Below are 16,623 nucleotides of genomic sequence, written 5' to 3'. Positions count from 1 at the left end.
TATGTTTGCTGTTTTGTCTATTAAAGTATAAAGTAGAAAAGTCATGGGTTTGATATAAAAAAAGCCTGGGTTTATTATGCCCAAACTTCTGCAAAAAAATGGTGTTAAAAATAATACCTGCATGTATGTTTGTTATGAGAAATCATGGATTAATTACAGGTGATGTGCTTAGAAGAGTACCTGGTAGGTAGTAAACTCAACAATGGTCACTACTGCTATGAGCTGCTTGGATTTGGACATGGCCATCTGTTTTAGTCCATTTGCGTTACTCTAAAGGAATATCCGAGGCTGGGTAATTTATGAAGAAAAATGGTTTAATTGGCTAACAGTTCTGCAGGCTGTATAAGCAGCATTTGTGCTGGCATCTGCTTCTGCTGAGGTTTCAGGAAGCTTACAATCATGGCAGAAGGCAACGGGGAGCCAATATATTACGTGAGAGTTCTCGAGCAAGAGAGTGAGGTGGGAGATGCCACACATTTTTAAACAACCAGATCTCATGAGAACTCACTCACTGTGGCAAGGACAGCACCAAGTTATTCATGAAGGTTCCGCCCCCATGACCCAAACACCTCCTATCATGAGATTTGGAAGGGACAAATATCCACACTATGCTACCTTCATCTCTCTGAAAGTCCATTCTGGGGAAAAGGGAAGTAGGATTTATATGACTCCCTGGAATTTGCATCAGTGGGTGAACGTTACAGGGGATCAGAGATTAGAACAATGTAAAGAAGTTGGACTGCAAACAGTCCAAGTTATCTGTTGGGATGGCTTGCAGCAAAGTAACTTCCCTGTCACTGTAGATATTCAATTATAGGTTAGGCAGCTGCTTTTTAGGCATAAGAAATGTGGGTTAAATATTATCAGCTAATTCAACCTTTAGGGTTTTATGATTCTGAGTAGCATATATATAGTAAGTAAAGTTTAGTGCGAAGGTATCTACTCTTCTACTTCTTGAAGCTTTGCTACAGGTTTAATTTTTGTGTGTATCTCTTATTGACATGGTAATTAATATACATGGCTATTTTAGTTATTACTTGTATTTATTTGTTTATTTTTATTTATTTATTTATTTTGAGATGGAGTCTCACTCTGTTGCCCAGGCTGGAGTGCAGTGGTGCGATCTCAGCTCACTGCAAGCTCTGCCTCCCAGGTTCATGCCATTCTCCTGCCTCAGCCTCCCAAGTAGCTGGGACTACAGGTGCCCACCACCATGCCTGGCTACTTTTTTGTATTTTTTAGTAGAATCGGGGTTTCACCGTGTTAGCCAGGATGGTCTCGATCTCCTGACCTCATGATCCGCCTGCCTCGGCTTCCCAAAGTGCTGGGATTACAGGTGTGAGCCACCACGCCTGGCCAGTTATTACTTTTAAAACGAATATTAATGACGGCAATGAAAATTTACCACTAATTAAGTGCCTACTATTTGTCAGACATTGTTATTCTGTGTCTTATATTTGTAATTTTATTTGGGGCCACTGAGAAGTCCAGTTCAGAAGTAACTAGGCAGCCATAGTTAGAAAGAAATCTGGGGAAGAGGGAGGTCAGTTTTCTATTTCTCTTGCTGATATTCATACATTATATACTTACATAGATAAAAGTAAATTTTTTTTTTTTTTTTGAGACAGGGTCTTGCTCTGTCACCCAGGCTGGAGCACAGTGGCACAATCATGCTTCACTGCAGCCTCGACCTCCCAGGCTCAAGCAGTTCTCCCACCTCAGTCTCCTGAGTAGCTGGAATACAGGTACACGGCACCATGTCTGGCTAATTTATTTTTCTTTTTATTTTTTGTAAAGAGCAGGTCTCCCAGTGTTGTCCAGGCTGGTCTCCAACTGCTGGGCTCATGCGATCTCCTCCCACCTCACACTCCCAATGTGCTGAGCCACTGTTTCCCGCCCAAAAGTTAATAACTTTTAACTTTTTGTTCTTCCAAATGTTAGCACACAGTATTTTAAGTGCAAATTCTCCTTAAGCTGAATTACTGTTTTTGGATAAGAGTAAGTTTTTGACATATGAATCGAGGAAGATATAAACGCATCATCACAGAATTCAACATACACTTGAATTTTCCAAGTTAAAATGGGAGGTGTGGAGGTGTTGTCACTTGTATAGAGGGCCCAACCTTCTAGATCCCAGGGCAAAGAAGGCTCTTTGTGCTATACTCCGTGGTTTCAACTAATCTGTGATTTTCCAGAAGAGATGATGAGCAATTACAATTAAGCATATTCCAAAGCACTAATGCAAACCAGTAATTTTACCCTCCTCACCGAAATTTATTTGAAATTTGAGAACCAATAGGAAAAGGAGCCCTTTTCAGTCCTTATCTCTTTTTGTTGTCAGGGTTTACTCTCTTAGGAATGTGAGAACACCAAAAGTAGAACCTATGATACTTGAAGTTGGCCCCTGACTTGTGATCTTGTGATCTCAATGCAGAATCAAAAATTCCCGGTGTTTGCCTTCTGGACACAATGTTGTCACTCGAATTCTGGGGCCCTTGATTTTCTGTTCTCCTCCCACTACCCACCTCACCCACCCACATACAAAACAAGACTATAGCATGGGCCTATGTAAGTGGTCCTTCCTACTTAGCCCTTTAGAATGATTATGCTTTTCATAAGCTTAAAAAAAAGCCTTTTTATGTAGTCGGCTGTTAATTTTTTTTCAACTCTGTTCTCTTCTAAGATAAGAACGCTAATTAGAGTTAGGGAATGATTTAAGGAGCATTACCTAAAATGAATACCTTATTGAAGATATGATGTGGTAACTTTTCAAAATACCTCAAATAAGTCAAAGAGAATCCTGAAAGCCCTGCATTATGGTGTTGAACACAGTTAGCATGGATCTGGGAATTTCATGTCTTCAGAGGCCTAGCACAAAAATATTTCTCTCTCTTACTCTTAATATGGTTTTAAATAATTTCCATCAATAAACTTTTTTTTTTTTTTGACGCGGAGTCTTACTCTGTCGCCCAGGCTGGAGTGGAGTGGCACGATCTCAGCTCACTGCAACCTCTGCCTCCCAGGTTCAAGCAATTCTCCAGCCGCAGCCTCCCACGTAGCTGGAATTACAGGTGCCTGCCTCTATGCCGGGCTAATTTTTGTATTTTTAGTAGAGACGGGGTTTCACCATAATGGCCAGGCTGGTCTCAAACTCCTGACTTCAGGTGATCCGCCCACCTCAGCCTCCCAAAGTGCTGGGATTACAAGTGTGAGCCACCACGCCTGGTCAAGAAACTTTTAAGCCCCATGATTATGTAGATGGATTCTTGGGTGTCTAAGCAGCCTATATAGATTAATGCAATGAAAAATGCAGCGATTTTCCACCCAAATTCTCTATATGGGTAATGAAATTATGTGTACACTGATGAAGAAATATATGTGCACATGAGTATATTTATATTCATATTGTGTACTTATTTTGGTAAACTCATCATTGCAATCTGTATTGAAATTATATATAAGAAAATTAAGGTACCAGTTAATTTCTACTCTTTAAATTAAAAATTCTGTACCTATAGCTGTGATCCAATTTAAAATTCATTATCTTTAACAAATGGTTTTGATTGGCTACCAAATGCCTGTTACAGTGTGGAACATTTTCATAGGTAACACCCCATCACCTCGGCAGCCCTGTTTTACAGATAGGGAGGTGAAGGCTTAGAGGGTAAATATAATGGACCCAAGACACACAATTTTGCTGTCTACAGCCCGGGACTTGAACTCTCGTCTGTTATTTTTGCCAAGCTCTAAGGGTTGAGGAGCCCTAAAAATAGACAAATTTTAGGCAGATCTAATAGAATAATTCACTTAAAAATAGCTCCTGGTTCCCTTTGGGCAAATTATATAAAACACTAGGAAAAAAATAACTTGTTCTAAACTGGAACAACCAACCTATTTGTTGTGGAAATGAATATCCTAATGTTTTAATACTGTTTCTGTCTGCACTGACTGGCAATAGAAGGAAATGCACTAGAAATAACTCTGTCTATTGAACATGAAAGTTACTATGAGAAAATTGTTTGGCACTTGCAAGCTGTTGAGATAGAAAGAATCACCACTTATTTTGCATTTGAGTATTTATTCTTTTCCTCAAGATGCAAACACAGTGCCATAGAGAAGTGATATTGTATCTTTTTTTAAATGTAAAGAGATATGCAAGTATATTAAATGAATGATTTATAGTATTCCTCTGTTTTCTTTTTTTTCAATTTTAAAAGAAAGAAATGACCCTAGCTTAACATCCTTATAAATGGAGGTGGCCACAGTGGATAGATTTGAGGATTACTACAGGACTGAGGTTAAGAGTGTATGCTTTGGGCTGGGCATGGTGGTTCACATCTATAATCCCAGCACTTTGGGAGGCTGAAATGGGCAGATTGCCTGAGTCCAGGGGTTTGAGACCAGCCTGGGCAACATCACGAAACTTATCTCTACAAAAAAACCCCACAAAAATAGTTAGCTGGGCAGGGTGGCATGTGCCTGTAGTCTCAGCTACTCAGGAGGCTGAGGTGGGAGGATCACCTGAGCCCAGATGCTCCAGGCTGCAGTGAACCATGATCATGCCACTGAACTCCAGTCTGGGTGACAGAGTGAGAGCCTGTCAAAAAAAAATAAAATAAAATAAAAAATAAAATAAATAAATAAAAAAGAGTACATACTCTGGACCTTTCCTATGAGTTAAATCCCAGTTCTGTCATCTACTAGTGTGTGACCCAGAGGAAGTTTTTCTTAAAAAAAATCTGTTCTTATATGTTTTAAGATTGAGAATAAATGAACTTTGATAATCCTCACAATATTTAAAGTAAAATAGTGTCTCCAAGACAGTCTACTGGCAAGGTAGAAATTCTGTTTTTCAATGGCTTGATGTCATTGTGCCCAGAGACCAATTGTCGTCAGAGGAAAGGTACTCTTATATCCTAAACACGTGGAGATTTGTGCTTAGTTTAAATGTAGTTTCTCCCTGTCACTGAACATATTTGGACACATGAATTTCAAATTGCTTTCTCTTTCAATAATAGTGTGATGGCTGGCAGTGACAACAAAGTAAGTAATTTTATAAGAGAAGACCATTGTATCTCCAAGCTCTAGTCCTCAATAAACATTTATTGAATTAATTAATCAACCAGGCAATTGATTGACTTAGAAATACTTGCATGGGTTATTAAAGGTATGTTGTTCTATTTATTTATTTATTTTAGAGATGGGTTCCCACTACTTTGCCAGGGCTGGACTCGAACTCCTGGGCTTGAGTGATCCTCATGTCTCAGCCTCTGGAACAGCTGTGACTATTGGCCTGTGCCACTGCAGCCAGAGGTGTTCTGTCATTTTTAAAGAATAGAAAATAGTGATTTTTTTTTATGGAATATGTGGCAATATTATTGAATGTCTTACCTTCTTAGGAAAGAAAATGAAGTGGTTGAAAACAAAGTTAGAGCTGAAGAGTTAAGTTTCTGGTGCCTGCGTTGGAGAGTTTTGCTGATTGATCCTGTCATTTTTAAACAATATATGCTACCAAAAAAGAAAGTCTTCTAAGCCCCAGGGTCCAGTGCTGGTAAGTGAGATGATTTTAGGTGCAAATGAGTATTTTTATAGTAATGATTGTATATTTAATGGGCATTTAAAAAATTCACATAGATCGTATCACATAACTCCAGCCTCCATTCCTACTTCTGATAACAGCTCCCAGACTTTTCTGTGAAGAGCTGCAGTGCTGTCATTGGAGTCAGTTTGGGTGAGACTATCAATCAAGGTGCTCCTCTTTGCTAGCAAAGGTGTGTGGCAAATAGATGATGCTCTGTTCCTGGAATTCCAATGAAGTGTCACAGAGTTTTCAGTTTAATCCGCCCTGTGACTGCGTGATGATTCCTGCGACCTCTGACCCTGGGGCTGTCCGAGCTCCTCTCTCCCAACCCCTGACTCCTCTGCTGATGTTTTCACTCTAGGAGTTACCCTGTGTCCTTCCAATATGCTCTTTTTTATTTTTTAATTCTGTATCACTAGATCAGTTTTTTTTTTTTTTTGCTGATTATATTTAAATAATCCTGTGTCACTTTGCGTGTCATGGATATTTTTGCTTCAGAAAAATTAACATCTTAACTTAAAACATAAATTGTTTTAAAGAAAGAAATCTGAATACATAATTGTACAGATAATACTCAGATGTAGCCAAAATTGTGAGGATTGGCAAATGGCTAATGATTGGGAAACAATAAAAACTGCCGTTAACAATTAGCTTCCTGGGTATGTTTAGGCATTAAAATTGGAGTTATCTTGAAAAAGTCATTGAAAATATATCAAGGATTGTATTATTGAGCTGATCCTATTAATGAAAAAACATGGACTTGGACAGGATAATGTGCTAATTAATATATTAATGGTCTTCAAGGCCTAAAACAAGTTTTGAAAAGGGGATGATAGTATTTCCTTGGTCAAGATCATGTCTTTTTATTTAAAAACACTTATTGCCTATGTCACAGAATCTCATTTTTCTTTTCTCAGGTAGGGTATTTTATTTATTTTTTATATCATTTTCCACAATTAGTAAAATACTAAAGGTGTAAATCTCTGTCAGTCAAATCAAGCATTAGTGATGCAGACAATGTGTATGTGTGTGTTTGTGCACAGGAGGCATGCCTCTGAGGCTGGATAGTTCCGGGTAGGAGTGTTAGTGATGTCAGCCCTGTCCCCACTGGACACATCGTCATAAATGCCATGAGCTCCTCTGTCTCTGTCCCAACTCCAAGGCACAAGTTATGAACCCCTCCTTTATTGGTCCTCTTACCTAGAGGTTCTGAGTTCTGTTTTGGGATAGAAACAAACACTGAAGATTTCTATCCCACCAGATTCCTATTTGTATCTGATGCTTTTATTTTTATTTCAAAAATATGATTTTAAAATTTTGGGATGAAGACCGGGCTCGGTGAAGATGTTGACACCTGAAAATATCTTCAGCAATTACGTTTTCCAAGTAATTGCTGTCAGGGAAATAGCAATAAGATGTGCAGTTTACTTATGATTCCCCCCAATAATCTATTTCAGGGCAAGAAAGCTTCAGGTAGTGGAGATTTCACTTTGAAATGGCATAACAGGCTGGGCGTGGTGGCTCATGCCTGTAATCCCAGCACTTTGGGTGGCTGAGGTGGGAGGACTGCTTGAGGCCACATAGCAAGACCCCATCTCTAAATAAAAATAAATAAATAAAAATTAGAAAAAGAGAAATGACATAAGACTCAGCAATTGACTATGTTTCCAATATGACCTTTATTGAGCAAGTACTGCTGTGACGTTTAACATCGATCAACATAAGATTGCAAACTGTGCATGTCAACGAGGTTCTCCCATGAACAAAAGTCCATTTTAAATGCACCAGTGAGGTAAACATAATTATTCATATATAGCTTTCTTAAGGCTGAGTTCTGTGTTTCGTTTATTGTTTTTGGCTCAGTTGGTACTTTGCATAATACATCTCAAGACATCCCCCCTTAAGTGACCCCCTTCCAACAGCTTAGGAAATCGGCAAATTTCCCAGGTACATACAATATCATGCATTTGAATCCCCCAAAGACTGAGGAGGGAGCACCCTGAGCTTGCATGCAGTCCCCTCATATTGCACAAAGTAAAATACAATGTCTGGAGCCCCCATGGGAGAACCCGTTCTGTTTTGAAGCTGCCAATCACATGCATTTTGAAATTGTCATATGGCTTAACCTTTTGCAATGGACTCAAATCTTAGTCACTCTGGGTGACTTCCTTTACTATGGCGTGTGAAGTGACTTTTTCTACCTTTTTAGTAGACACTAGTTTCTCCTCAAAGGTCTCTTCATGCTCTTCAACCTTTTGAGTGACGGTTACAGATTTAGTGATGTATTTGGTAGCACCATCTCCCCCCTCACTGGTGATTTTTTCTACCGTTTTGGTCACCACCACTTTCTCCTCACTTTTATCACCCCCCTTCTTTTCATCTGCTGGGCTCAAGTCTAGGCCATTGGTGACAACGCCTTTCTCCTCTTCCCTCCCACTGCCTTTTTCCTTGGTCTCCTGCTCTACCTCCTCTTTTCCTTCTACCTCCCCATTGACAGCTATGTCTTCCTTCCTGGATCCCTTGGCACCTTTATCACTCCCTTCCTCCTCACTTCCTCCCTCTCCTCCCGCTTTCTCCTTCTCTTTCTCCTGCTGCAGTGGCTTCCCCTCTTCTTTGGTCTCTTTCTCCAAGTGCACCTTTACCGATTTGGTGATGGTGACCACCTCTGCCACAGCTTCCTCCTTTACAGGGGACTCAGCTTTCTTCTTCTCTGGCACATCCTTTGGTTTCTCTTCCTTTTTCTCTACCTTCTCTTCCTTGGGAGCTTCCTTGACTTCCTTTTCTTCTTCCTCTTTCTGTTCACCTTTCCCCACTTCTGCTTTTGACTTTGCCTCTTCCACTGGTGATTTTGGCACAGGAGATTTGGCTTTCTCTTCCACTGGTGATTTTGACACAGGAGACTTGCCTTTCTCTTCCACTGGTGATTTCGGCACAGGAGACTTGCCTTTCTCTTCCACTGGTGACTTGGGCACAGGAGACTTGCCTTTCTCTTCCACTGGTGACTTGGGCACAGGAGACTTGCCTTTCTCTTCCACTGGTGATTTTGGCACAGGAGACTTGGCTTTTTCTGGCTTTTCCACCTTGGCATCTGCCACCAGCTCCTCCTTGGTAGCCACTTCCTCACTCTTTTCCTCCACTTTCTTTTCCTCTTTAGCTTCGGCTTCCTCTCCTTCAGCTTCAGCTTCTGTTTCTCCTTCTTCCTGCTCACCTTCCTCTTTTTCACTAGAGCCTTCCTTCTCGGATCCTCCCTCTTCGGCTTGGTCTGACTTAGCTCCCTCATCTTCTTCCTCCTCTTCTTCCTGGCCTTCTTCTTCCTCCTTTTCCCCTTCCTCTTCTTTAACTTCAGGTGCAGTTGCTTTCACTGGAGACTTTTTGGCAGCTACTTCTTCTTCTTCAGCTTCGGGTTCCTCTTCCTTTTCTTCTGCTGCTTCTTTCTTCTCTTCCTTCATGGAAACGGCCAATTCCTCTGTAATGGCTGTCAGGGCCTCTTCCATTTCTGACTTCTCATCCTCCACTTTGGTTTCCTCTATGATCTCCTCGACAAATTTGTGTTGGACCTTAAGCTTGGGAGCTTCCACCTTGGGTTTCTGAATCTTACTGGATATTGTGATTGGGGGTCGGTGTGTATACAGTGGCCCAGTGATGCTTCCTGCAAATGTGCTAAATCTAGTCTCTTCACCCTCCAGGAGTTTTCTAAGGAGAAAATCCAAGAACATAAGACATAGTAAAAATTTCACTAGGCCTTCTGAGCTTCATTACATTCTGGGTATTGTGGTAGCTACCTTTGAATAAATAGAATTACATAAGTAGAATATTCTATGAATTCACTATAATACCTGCTATCACTTACTGGCATATTACATTATACTCAGTGACAGAGAAAGATTCTCCTGGACTGCCAGACAGTTGCCCCCTACAATGACTAACCTTGCCCAATAGTCCACTAACCACACCCAGCTACTAAGTCTTGGCCCTGCAGTAGAGATCCATTAGGTACAACATGAATATGCTGAAAAACTTGTTAGTGGCCAAATAGCAAAAAACAAAAACAAAAACAAAAAAACAAAAAGCCATAAACAAAACGCCCCCAAACTCCAAAGCCAAACAGCCTTTCTGAGAGTAGTCACTTTCTTAAACGTTTAGATTTTCAGGTGTATCGAGTTATAAATTTGTTGATAATTTTTATCATAAAGTGTCTATTTAATGTAGTTATTCAGCTTTCCTGAAAAGAGAGATAGCTCTGTAAATGCAATTTATTCTCGTTATATTATAACTACCTTATTGGTAGCAGAAAAATTTTAATCAACGATTTTGTCCTTTGCGCTTAGTCAACAGCAAGGTCACTTCAGTTAATAGACCTATAACCTATCTCACTATCTATAAAACGATCATATATATTTGTGTCTATATATCTAGATTTATATGCATATGCACATATGTGTATCTATAGATCTAGATTAATATCATACATGATATATTGATATAATTTATACTACAGTCTAGCATAAAATATAATACATATAAATTATCTACATATATAAAAGAACTATATCTATATTCTATCATTCTATATCTATTCTCAGCCAGATGATGGCAATAGTAAGCTATATAACAGAGAAACAGAGAAATAGAACGTCCTGGTGTTTGTCCTTGACATTATACATTTGAAAAGCTGAAACCACTAGATGAAATATTAGAAACCAAAACTCTGTTCATGCTTCCAGCATTTGAAAACATTTTTCCATAAAAAGTTTAAGCATGTGCATTGAGATTAATCTGCACCTCCTTTGTGTAATTCAAAAACCTTTTGTTTCTACTAGTATTCATTCTTTTAAAGCTGCATAAAAAGAGATAAAACTACACTTGCAATTCTTTAGAATAATTTCTTTTTAAGTAAGCAAGATAACCAGGTGCTGAGTTGATGCCTGCACCCTGCCTGCTTTAACTTAAGTGGTGGAAGCTCTGCCGGAACAGCCTCTGCACTGCGGTTAGTGTTCCGGCCACGCACGTAGTAAGCATCGTACCTGTACGCAGCGATTTCTATATCCAGAGCCATCTTGACGTTGAGGAGGTCCTGGTATTCGCGCAAATGACGAGCCATTTCCCACTTTGTGCCCCGAAGCTCATTTTCCAGCTGCTGGATGGTGTCCTGAAACAGACACAGAGAATCTCCCCAGACTCATCCTTGCAAACAGCAACTTCCTTCGCAAACCACTTGCTACCCCTTCCCCCTGGCCTCCTCCCGTCTCCCTCCACTTCTGCAAACCTCGCTGACACCTGACTCCCAGCCCCCCGTCCCACCCCCTTTTTCTTTTAAATCTAAGCGATTCTCAAATGAACATACAAGATCAGTAAGACAATAGGACACTTCCTGGGCACATCACGCACGGAGACCAGTGGACTTAGAACACGTCTCAACAGGACACAAACATGCATGGGGAAACTCCATGGCTGACCTGGCCATTCCCATCTGAGCCCTTTGGGCTGAAGCCAATTTTGAGAGCTCTTCCGATCACTGCCGGAAAAGTAGAGAATACACGCGTTTCTGCATAAGCTATCCTAAAGTTGCTGATTTATCCACTACCGAATTCATCCCTCCTGCTTTAAACGTGCAAGCGTGCAAAATTAGAACTGGAAAAGATGCACGTTTCTGAAAAAGGTCAAGACCCTTAGCAGCTGGGGCAGGTGGGTGGGGGCGGAGTGTGGAGGATGAGATGGGCGAGGACGCTGATCCGCAAATACCCTAGGTCTGCGGCGCGCGTGCTCTAGCGAGCGGCCACCAGGGAGCGCGGCGGAGAGGGCGCCTGGGCACGAGCCCAAGTGTCGGGGGCGCGCGGCGCTGGCGCTGGCGCAGGCTGGCCGCGCAGCCGCGGTTCCTACCTGGTAGCTGCTGAGGTCGTGGTTGTGGCGCTCCTCGATGTCGCTGAGCTGCCGCTCCAGGGACTCCTTGGTGCCGCGCACCGACTCTAGCTCGATGCTCTTGGACTGCAGCTGGCGCCGGTACTCGGCGATCTCTTCCTTGGCGGAGCGGATGGCCTCCTTGTTCTGCTCGGCCGCCTCGGTGAGCTTGGCGTAGCGGCATTTGAACCACTCTTCGGCCTGGTGCATATTCTGGTCTGAGTGGCTTTCGAGCTGGGAGCGGATTTCCTTCAGCGCCGTCGAGATGTCTGTCTTCAGGTAGTCTTTGCGCTCCACCGTGATGTGCGATGCCTGGATCTGGGCCAGAAGGTCGGCCACCTCCTCCTCGTGGTTGCTCCGCAGGAAGGCCACCTCATCCTGCAGCGACTGCACCTTCTTGTCCAGCTCCACCTTGACCAGCGACGCCTCCTCGATGTCTTTGCGCAGCGCGCGGATGGCCGCCTCAGTGTCGTCGCGCAACCGCGCCTCCTCCTCAAAGCGCTCCTTGAGCCGGTGGATGTCTTCCTCCAGGTGGTCCGAGTCCAGCTGCACCTGAGCCTTCTCGTGGTTCACCATCTCCAGGGTGGCGCGCAGCTCGCGGATCTCCTGGTCGTACGCGTCGCCCAGCTGGGCGTGCGAGGCCTGCTTCTGCCGCAGCGCCTGGATCTCCGCCTCAATCTCCTTATTCTGCTGCTCCAGGTAGTGCACCTTCTCTATGTAGCCGGCAAAGCGGTCGTTCAGCCCCTGCAGCTGCTCCTTCTCGTTGGAGCGGGACAGCTTGTAGTCGCCGCCGGGTCCGGAGCCGCCGTTGAGCAGGGACGAGGACTGGCTGAAGTCAAGGCTGCTCTCGGCGGAGCTGAGCATGGCCGAGCTGTAAGCGAGGCGCGGGGCGAGCATGCTGCGCTTATAGGAGGAGGACACGGTGCTGGGCGAGCCGCGGGACCACGACTGCGAGCGGAAGCCACTGGACGGGGAGCCGCTGACGCGGCTGAAGCTCGAGCGGGTCTCGGTTACCCGCCGGTAGGCGGACGGGTTGCCCAGCGAGTCCAACGTGTAGCTCATCTTGGAGGCCTTGGGGCGTGTGGCTGTCACAGCGTTCTGCCGGCCTCGCCGCAGCCCATTTATAGCCGCGGCGCTGGTCCCGGGCCAGGGCCCCGCCCCGTGGAGGCGGCGGCCGAGGAGGCGGGGACTGCGGGCACCGGTCGGGGAGGAGGGGAGGGGGGCGGCTGAACGGTGATTCAGCGCCCGCTCCACGTGGGCCCAGGCCGCATGGGAACCTGGACTTTTCTGCCCTGGGCCCAGCCCCTCCCCCAGGTCCCCTTTCAGTCCCAGGCTACTTGTAGCCGGGCATTCGCCTTCTTTCCATTTCTCACCTCCCGATTGCGTTTCGCACCCTTGGTGCGAATATCGCCAGCGCCCTTTCTTTGTCACTGTCCCGCCGTTCAGGCAGCGCTTCCCCGACCCCGTGGTCCCCTTGTTCTTTAGCCTTCTACCCTCTTATCCTCAAGGCTTTCTCTTATTTTGCCCTTTCCCTGATACTTTTTTCTTTACCCATCTTCTGTGCTTAATTTCATCCCCTTCTTTTTTGGCCCCTCTTCTCCTTCCTACTCTGGCCTTTAGTCCAGTTCACCCTGCCCTTCTCTCAGCCCCTTCCTCGGAGATCCTTTTCTTCCAATCTTTCCTTCTCCCCGTCTCCTCCCTCCTTCCCCTTGCATTCCCTCTTTTCCCCTCCCCCACCCTCATCTTTTCTTGCCTCCCTCCCCTTCCCCCACCCCTTGTCTTAAAGCAGCTGGAGATGAGCGCCGAGGAGCTGGGTCTAGAAGACAAAACAAAACAAAAAAAAAGACTTTGCGGAACGGTCTGCCTGAAGGCTTCGGGAAGGGGACAAAGAGAACAGGCCGGGGTAGTTATTTGTATAAAAAGTGGGATATGGCGTTTTTAACGTTTGGGGGACGTCCGCAGCTTCCGCAGGGGCAGAAGGTAAGGCGCTTGTGCTCGCTATGGCGCCGGCAGCACCAAGGACAGCGCCCAGGTCGGCGAGTGGGAGGTGCAGCCACCCGGGGGGCTTGTCACCCAGCCTGGCCTGTCAGGTTGGCAGGGGGCAGGGGGTTCCCTTCCCCCTCTTCTCTCCGAGTAAATACAATTTAAACCTGCCTGTAGTGACTATCTTTGCAGGAGCGAAGCTGGAATCACAGGCTAAGACTTCCCTGCAATGCAGGGTTGGCACAATGGACAGATCGCAGATTTTGAAAACAACCAAAATTCATTAAAGTCAGTTAACAGAAATATATACTTGTAGCCCAGTTTGAGTTTTCTAACATATGGTGGTATAGGAAATGAAGAGATACAGGGCCTGAAATGTGAAGGTCAAATACTCCTTGGAAAGGAGAATTTGAAATCTGTTGGGATGAAAAGTCCAGGGAAATATAGTTTTTCTTAAGTTTGGACACAGACAATTGCCTTGTCATCTTTCGGTTCAGTATTCCCTATGTGTAACTGCAATGATTGAAAAGGCATCTGAATTAACTTTAAATTGATTTAAAAGTTGCGGAACAGAGTCACCACAACCTTGAATAAAATCAGATGTTTTCCCTTCATTTAAAATGTAATATATTTTTCGCTTTAGATTTTAATGATTGATTTGGAATAGATTTTCTATATCATTAAACATGTTTATGCAAACAAGAACTCTACACAGACTTCTTGCTGTCTGGTGTACTCCTGTTAAAATGTCCCTTTATTTTGGGTAGTGCTTTGGGGGTAATTCAGGTTAAAAAAGTTCAGAATACTACAAGATAAAGTGAAGAAGAGATTGCAGAACTAACAACAGCGCTGGGGCCACAGGTACAAGTGACTGAATGTGCAACGCTTGCTATGGGTGAGAAGAAACTACTGCTTATAAAAAGTAGGGACTCCAGACCGAAATAGCTTCTTTTCACAGCATGTTTCCTTAAGTCCCTGTTTTATTAAAAGACAGGATCATATTCATCAGTAAGTAATCAGGAAAGGGGTGGGTTTCTAGAGGTTTTATTTTTTATTTTTATCAGCTCCCTTGGCCCATCTGTATTAAAATAGAAATAATGTTTTAAACAGGAGGTGCTAATTTTGGGAGTTACTTTGGTTTATTAATATGAAACTGCAGTATCGCAGGCCATGTAGGAGAAGGATGTTCTAGTTTGCTGAGAGACCTTAGGCAAGCAGAGCCCATCCATGTCTTGAGTTGTTGAGAGAGACAGATGATGGAATGAGGGGACTGACTTGTGAATACTGTAAAAACAGGATTTTCTGGTTTTATGTAGATAAATAAAGGCAAGGAGAAAGAAAATTCCCTGCCTTCTGTAAAGTATTGCGGATGTCAGGCTGGACTCAGCAGGATACCATCTAGATAAGGCCAAATGCTAATTATGCAGTAATTTTGCCTTTGTTGCTTATTACTTTCTGCTTTTATTGAAATATATAAAAATCCTTGGCAATTTCATGGTGCACATTCACTGCAAACTCTGCAATGAGAGTACATGGTTAACCGGCAGCCTTCTGCTGTTAATTTTCTTTAGGGCTTTGGAAACGAGATGACTCTGCAGAGAGACATTTACAAGGAAACACATGTCTAACTTCACAATTACCCAGTTTTGCCTTGTATCTGAAGTAGCTGAGAAATTGTTCAGCTTCCAGCTGGTTACAGAAGGAGGAAAGTGTTGCGTACAAACAAAATAAGTCAGTTACTCAGGCTACATCTAGTGCCTATAACTTAAAATTGTAACTTCAATGTCACATGATATATTGTTCAATCTGGGCACTACAGGATAATGCAAAGAATTAAAACAGTTGTTTTATTAAGAAAAAACAGTTCCCATGGCTTAAAAAATGATGGATCCAGTTTCACATTTAGCAAAATGTTTTCTTTTATATTAAACTCTTCCACTTTAACTACTCTTCCTAAAGGTGATTTGAAGGTTATACCCATCAGTAAATTTAGTATGAAAACTTTTTTTAAAAAGCTATAAAAGATGTTTTTCCCTTTTTGTCTCATAGTTTTGAAGAATATTTACCATCTTAATAGTTTTCACAGAAAGAAATGCTTTTGCATTTTTTTAAACCCTAAGAACACTAAGGCTATGAAATCTTCTCAAAATATTAAAAAGAGAGAAAACAATCATGGCAACTCACCCGGATTAACCACACTGCATTCATGGAATTAAGTTTGACTACGATACTTTTGTAATTTATTCTAAATAGAAAAGTTTCTCATATGATTTAGATGTAAGACATTTTAAATGAAATTATCTCTGAATTGTTGTTTCATAAGCTACAGTCTGTTTTGAATCACTTTATAGAGAAATACAAGGCATGCTCCAATCTATATGTTCCTTCAGTAGGGAAAGTGAAAATGTTAACTTTGCAGCTAAGAGATGATAGCCACTGTCAGGTTTTGTAGGGTGTCATCTAATACTGGGAAAATATCATTTGCAAAGGTGGTATATTTACTGGGTCATAAAATAAAGATAAAAAATAAGGAGTTAGGCATTTTCTCCCATCTTTCCCTATTTCCTTACATTTCTTCTTTTAAATAGCATTTTTGGATATAAAAAAATGCAAGGAGGATGGGATGTAGGAACTGGATAGCAAGAAAGATACTCCAGATGGACAACGTCACTTTCAAATTGGTAGGCTGAATCCATCCAAGATGAGATGATCTGTACTTTCTTTCAACCTATTGTGTCTTGAACTTAATCCGTTTGCCTGGGATCTGGTTCTAGAACTCATAATAATTATTTATAACCTGTCCTCTGCTAATTGTTTAAGGGGTTGTTGATGTAGGAAGCTAGGGACTTAGTCTGCCGAAGCAGGAACACAAGAAAAAGGAAGCTATATTACATATTTCTACTTGATCCTCAGGATGTCAAACTTTAAAAGCAGTGTTGACTTTTGATTTTGTTGTTGTCAAGAGTTGAAAGCAAAATAAAAATATTCTCAGGGGAGAAAGACTGTTTCTTGTCAGGGAAATTGGGATGTATATGTATGTCCCTATTGTCTTTGATCAAAACAAATCCATCTAGACCACAGTGTTCCTTTTCTGTCATTAGGCCACTGAAATGGTGTTTGTTTCCCTTGCCAAATATTTTATTCTTTGAATATTGCCTTCT

At 42.6% G+C, this 16,623-nt stretch overlaps 1 protein-coding gene and 1 long non-coding RNA gene across 3 annotated transcripts, besides 1 other annotated feature; one reads left to right on the top strand and one right to left on the bottom strand.

Moving 5' to 3' along the window:
• The first annotated feature begins 1,624 nt into the window (after window positions 1-1,624).
• Window positions 1,625-6,231, top strand: LOC112268023 (uncharacterized). The gene is made up of 3 exons (XR_002956698.2): window positions 1,625-1,745; window positions 5,400-5,551; window positions 5,680-6,231. It is a non-coding gene; the product is annotated as an uncharacterized LOC112268023 (long non-coding RNA).
• Window positions 7,242-12,574, bottom strand: NEFM (neurofilament medium chain). Of its 2 annotated transcripts, none has more exons than NM_005382.2 (3): window positions 11,462-12,574; window positions 10,606-10,730; window positions 7,242-9,274 (listed from the first exon to the last, which is right to left on the bottom strand). In NM_005382.2, the coding sequence occupies exons 1-3, from the start codon at window positions 12,539-12,541 to the stop codon at window positions 7,729-7,731; spliced, it is 2,751 nt and encodes a 916-aa protein (NP_005373.2). In that variant the 5' UTR covers window positions 12,542-12,574; the 3' UTR covers window positions 7,242-7,728. The 2 variants fall into 2 exon arrangements, with proteins under 2 accessions (NP_005373.2, NP_001099011.1); NM_001105541.2 differs by lacking the exon at window positions 11,462-12,574 and adding an exon at window positions 11,038-11,348.
• Window positions 12,157-12,930: an enhancer, noted in NCBI's record as "H3K27ac-H3K4me1 hESC enhancer chr8:24770918-24771691 (GRCh37/hg19 assembly coordinates)". NCBI's record gives its function as "activates a minimal SCP1, AML or CMV promoter by ChIP-STARR-seq in naive H9 embryonic stem cells {active_cell/tissue: H9 hESC(naive)}" and the evidence as "EXISTENCE:reporter gene assay evidence [ECO:0000049][PMID:30033119]".

This window comes from Homo sapiens, chromosome 8, assembly GCF_000001405.40.
Source record: "Homo sapiens chromosome 8, GRCh38.p14 Primary Assembly".
Taxonomy (NCBI): Eukaryota; Metazoa; Chordata; class Mammalia; order Primates; family Hominidae; genus Homo; species Homo sapiens.
The sequence above is the reverse complement of the archived record's forward strand: the minus strand, read 5'-3'. Positions and strand labels throughout refer to the sequence as shown.